The following is a 5621-nucleotide window of genomic DNA, read 5'->3' on the forward strand; positions in this document are numbered from 1 at the left end:
GGATTACAGGCGTGAGCCACTGTGCCTGACTGATGTTGGTATTCTTGAGTACCCAACCTGCCATGTGTGGGATGTACATCGAACATTTGCTATAGCACCATAATTTGGAGAGAATAATCTTCCACTTTGGAGAAGGTCAGTTATGTTGGAGACTTCAATTTTGAAAGGGCAATGTCTTGTCCTCATTATAATTGACTCTTATTCTGGATATGAATTTTTCCTTTCTTCCTAACATTTATTTTGTCTTTTATTTATTTATTTATTTATTTATTTATTTATTTATGTATGTATTTATTTATATAGTTTTTTAGATATGAGGTCTTGCTATGTGGCCCAGGATTGTCTCCAACTCCTGAGCTCAAGCAATCTTCCCTCCTTGGTCTCCCAAAATGTTGGGATTTCAGGAATGAGCCACCATGCAGAGCCCCTAACTTATTCCTGCAGAAACTTTATTCATAAATATATTTTCTTATTTTCTGTTATAAAAACCAAATGAGCAAAACAAAATATAGTTTCTGACCAATGAATTTGTTTTGCAACAGAAGAAGTAAGGAGATTTTTTAGTGCTCATGGAATTTATTTTTTAAACTTTTTAAAAATTCATGTATTCTATTACCAAATAGCCCTTACCTTATAAAAATAAAATCCTTATTTAAGACGAAATAATGAACCAGATGGGAAAAATGCATTAAGGAGTTTTGGTGTTTCCCTACAGAATGCAGAACAGGTTCTTAACCAGCAAATGATATATAGTGACATTTCCCCATAGCTGGAAGGCACGGATCTGGGAACCAAAGGGTGAAAGAGAGAGAGCTACTTTTTTGCTTCCTATTCTTGTAACTTTATACAGTACTGGTATAGAAATCTTATAAGACAAGAAATCAATACCTCCAACAACGGTTGTGTCGCTGCCCTTGAACAAAAAGTTGAGACAATCAACCAGCCATTTTTTTGCTTGCTTTTCCTGCCACTGGATGGTCATACCACCAGGCAAACATCTTGACTCAGTTAGCAAGTGATGTGCACATGATGCAATACAATGAGAGGAGGGAGAATCATGCTTGCAACACAATCTATGCTAACTATGAATTAAATACTATCTCTATCTCATGCAGACAGGACTGCACAGGTATCTTGGGCATAAAGTTTTTTAAATTTTCTCTTCAGTTAAAGAACTATAGCTAGTCAAGATGCTTCCTGAGAGAAAATGGAATAAGAAATGGATATAGGTATAGTGAAAAGAAGGTATAAATACAAACCACGGTCTTGTGAAGAATTCCAGAAATAAAAGCAATAGCAGCTACCTGTATTAATTCGTTCTCACACTGCTATAAAGAACTACCTGAGACTGGGTAATTTATGAAGCAAAGAGGAGTTAACTGACTAACAGTTCCACAGGCTGTACAGGAAGCATGGTTGAGAGGCTTCAGCAAACTTACAATCATGGCAGAAGATGAAGGAGAAGCAAACATATCTTCACATGGCAGCAGAAGAGAAAGAGAGAGAGCTAAGGGGAAATTGCTTTACACTTTTAAATAACCAGATCTCGTGAGAACTCACTCACTATAATGAGAACAGCAAGGGGGAAATCCTCCCCCATGATCTAATCCCTTCCCACTGAGTCCCTCTCCCAACACTGGGAACTGCAATTAGACATGAGATTTTGGTGGGGATGCAGAACGAAACCATAGAACTACCCATAGTGTTTTCTTTACTGAGTTATGTGTATACTCAGATGCATTCACTTTTTTTCAAACTCATTTCCTTATTAATTAATATAATGTAGTGGATAATTAAATGTAATTTAGTACATAAATTAGAGGACACCTTGCCAAGATAGTGACTGAACTATGGACAAAAAAAAAAATCACCTAACAATGCATGTGGCATCTGATGAGAATATGGACCTCTTTTGTTGAGGAGTGAGCATATTTCATTTGAATGATGATAGTTAAAGTCTATTAGGTAAGATACGTGATTTTTGCTAGAGTTGCTTTGCTTTTGAGTATGGGAAGATGTTTGGGAGATGACTAATCAAAAATTTGTTTTGTGATTAAGACTGCATTTCAACAGTAGGGTATCTTTTAGAACAATTTCAGGAAAGTAGTAGCATCTATTTAGTGATTGTGTTATTCCTGGTTATATAGCCTCCAAACTTATTTCCCTGGCCATTCAGAATATCTGAGAGTTACCTAATTCTCTATTAAATTCCATCTGATAGTGTGAATTCTAATAACTCAAACTTAGAAAAAAACAACTGACTGACTAATTTATTCATTCATTGCTTCATAGGACAAATATTTATTACCTACAATGAGGTTATCAAGTGGAAAACTTTTTCTTTCTCCAGAAGTATAAAATAATATTCAAATTTGGAAAAGTAGAAAGCAAAAAGTACTCTACTTTTTAAACAGGGAAACAGATTTCCTAAGAATTAATTCTGCTTCTCAAACTATTCACCTTTTCCCACTTCTTGATTCTCCTTCCCCCATCTATTGAAAGGAGAAAACTAAGGGTAATTATAAAGATTAGAAGACAGTATCAGAGTCCCAATTTATTGTAATGGAATTAGGGATAACTGTTTGGAGAATGGAGAATAATTATCTTTCTATCAACAAACAGAAAATAATATGCTGGATAATAATTAGTAAGAATGATATTTTCATACTTGGAGGTAAGATTGGCATTTTAAGCCCTATTTGAACATGCACCAGGCCCGGTAAAATATGCTGAATCCATATAAACACTGAAAAGAAGAAATGGAAAGCAAGGGAGTGGGAAAGAGAGACAGGTCAGAAGAGGATTTGCCAGTCTTTTCCACTCTGCCCCATCATTTGGCATGCCACCCGTGGAAAATCTTAGGTGGGGCTGCCAGTGCCCCACTCAAGAGACTCAATACAGAGTCAGAGGGAAAGGCAAAAGAGATCAAGTCAGGGAAATTCTCACCTGCCAGGGAGATGTGCTATGGGGAAGACCCCACAGGTCATGCCTAGAGAAGAGTATCATCAGCAAGTAAATGATAGCAGGGACCAACAGCTGATTACAGTTGTATTCCTATTCAGTAAATAGATGTTGAGCATTTTCCTGTCATTCCTCTGGCCAGATCTAAATCATAAAATAGCTAAAACCTGAAAAAGAAAAGGATAAAAGTGAAAGAGCAGATCACGCTCAGTCTCACTTGAGTTCCCTTGGGCCAAAATCTGGTTGGCACTGGATTTCTACTATGTCACTGTGGTGCAGATGACTGCTAAACTACATATGAGTTTTCAGATTTAGACTGGACTAAACATAAATTTTTTTAATTACCAAAAGTGGCCAAATATAATTTTTTAATTACCAAAAGTGACCAGAAAAAATACAGAATAAGTCTGACATGTTATTAAGAGACAAGAAAAAAAAGATGTGACATACCATGATTGGAAGCCAATTATTAGAGAAAAATTGTTTTATGTTTACAACCCGTTGAAGTTCAAATCGTTTGACAATCCAGTTGCATTTGAGAAATGGTGGTACAAACACTTTTAGTGGAGTAACCAAAGTGATTCCTTACTGAGGTACAGAATAAGGAGAATTTGATTTTGCCAGGTAAGTTGAAGAAGATTTTCAAAGAAAGGCTTGACAATGGAACTATGTCTTAAAGATAACGAGGAAATTGTCCAGTGAAAGAGAATATGGACAAGATATTAATCAGGTGGTGCAGAAAATGTTGTAAGGTTGAATTTTTTTTAGATTAAACCATGGAACAGAGAAAATGACAGGAATTAAGATGGAAAAAGTGGTCAGGGTGATGGTAAGTTGTCTGAACCTTTTGGGCCAGGAAATACCATGATCGATGGCATATTTTTGAGAGAGCTATGTTGACAGTCTGGATTTTGCTTTAGAATGGAAGAGCGTATGAAAGAGACAATCACGGAGGAGTCTGAAGAGATAGATTATGATCATATAAACTGAGATAAGTCAGAAAACGTGGAAGAAGAGCAGTTACACATGATTTTCAGTGACCTAAGTGTTAGGACTTGCAGGCAGCAATAGGCTGTATGAAAAGAGCACTATTGAAAATGATAATGAATGTTCTAATCTGGGCTAGGTTTACGGTGATAAATCTTGACTAAGTAGAGGCATTGCATATAAACACAAGTAACTTTTCGGTAAGATGAAAAATTATTTCTTTTTCTCCTTTCCTTCTTTCCCTTCTCCTGTCTTTTCTTTTTTCCTCCCTTTCTTGTACCACCATCACTTGCTTATCTTCCAGTCTTTCTGTTTCTACTTTAATCTCCAACTGATTTCAAAACAAGAATTTGAAGTGGCTAATAGTTAATGTTCTTCTCTTTGTGTTGTTCTAACATTTCTAATGCCTGATTACTATCCAATCTTCTTTTCCCTTATTTTTGGAACTCTGTTAAATTGTACTGGGAAACTAAGAACTGTGTTTATTTTATCTTGCTGTGCATTCATAAACAGTAACATTCTCATATGCCTGTTGAAATTGTTATTAAAATAATCACATTGAGCAGTAGCCAATAATCAATTTATGTGCCACGCTAAAACTTGACTTTAGAATTTAGAATCACTTCTATTTACCCCATTAAAATTATTTATAAGAAAGATTATATTTATGAATAATTTTAGATATAATAAAAAATGTTAACTCATAATATGCAATGAGGGAAACAAACAATAAAACAAAACTAGGAATGAATTTAAGAACAATGATTTGGTAAGCAAAAAAGCTTGACTGCTTTTGCACTTGAAAACTATTGACAAAAAATTACCAAAACCAAAACCAATGAACCAAACAAACGAACGCCACACATGAAAAATACTGTCTTGGCCAGTTGTTTCTTGGATCCATCTAAAATGTGATTTATTTTTCTCATCTGCTATATAAAAAGGTGAAATTTGGTTTGATGTGGCCCAGTGCCATGCAAAAGAGAGATATACCAATATCTAGCTTATTTGACAGATGGTATTTAAACCAGAAAAAAAATCAATATGTTTATTTTTCATCAAGCTAAGGTCAATAGAAATATTTCTGTGTAATGTAATACATCATCATATGATGTCATCTCGAGAAGTTCAGTTTAAATAAGAAAGAAAAATGTGTAGCCCAGGTCAAAACCACAACAAAGCCTCCAAAGAAATACAACACTGTAAGTTGTATTCAGATGTAGGAATGCTGACTAATTGCTTTCATTAGGTAACTTCTGGGATATGGCAATTCTGGCATGTTTTCTTTGGGGGGGATTATAGTATGTGGGGTGGAGGCTTAATTTGGTTTACATAAAAATAATGCCAGCCTCCCACAAAAACAAAGCCCAATCAAAGGGACATAAACATGCTGTAAGAACTTCATAGGTATTCCCAGAAAACGAGACCTTTACTTAGCATATCGTCACCACTCATAACTGCCATCAGGACTTGACTCACTTAGAGAAGTATTGGAGATTTTCCTGGTCACTGGTTAGCTAATTGGCTCTCCTGTGGGGATATAGGGTAAGTAGAGGAAGGAAACTCAGTTTCCTGATATTCCTGAAAACTCTTTAGAAATATTGCACATTAGGAATTTATCTACTAGTCCTTTTGGGTATTACTAAGCTTAACAGACTGATCTGGATTATTCT

At 35.4% G+C, this 5621-nt stretch overlaps 1 annotated feature.

Moving 5' to 3' along the window:
• Positions 4920–5421: an enhancer, noted in NCBI's record as "NANOG hESC enhancer chr6:140577332-140577833 (GRCh37/hg19 assembly coordinates)". NCBI's record gives its function as "activates a minimal SCP1, AML or CMV promoter by ChIP-STARR-seq in naive and primed H9 embryonic stem cells {active_cell/tissue: H9 hESC(naive and primed)}" and the evidence as "EXISTENCE:reporter gene assay evidence [ECO:0000049][PMID:30033119]".

Source organism: Homo sapiens, chromosome 6, assembly GCF_000001405.40.
Source record: "Homo sapiens chromosome 6, GRCh38.p14 Primary Assembly".
In the NCBI taxonomy this organism is placed as follows: domain Eukaryota; kingdom Metazoa; phylum Chordata; class Mammalia; order Primates; family Hominidae; genus Homo; species Homo sapiens.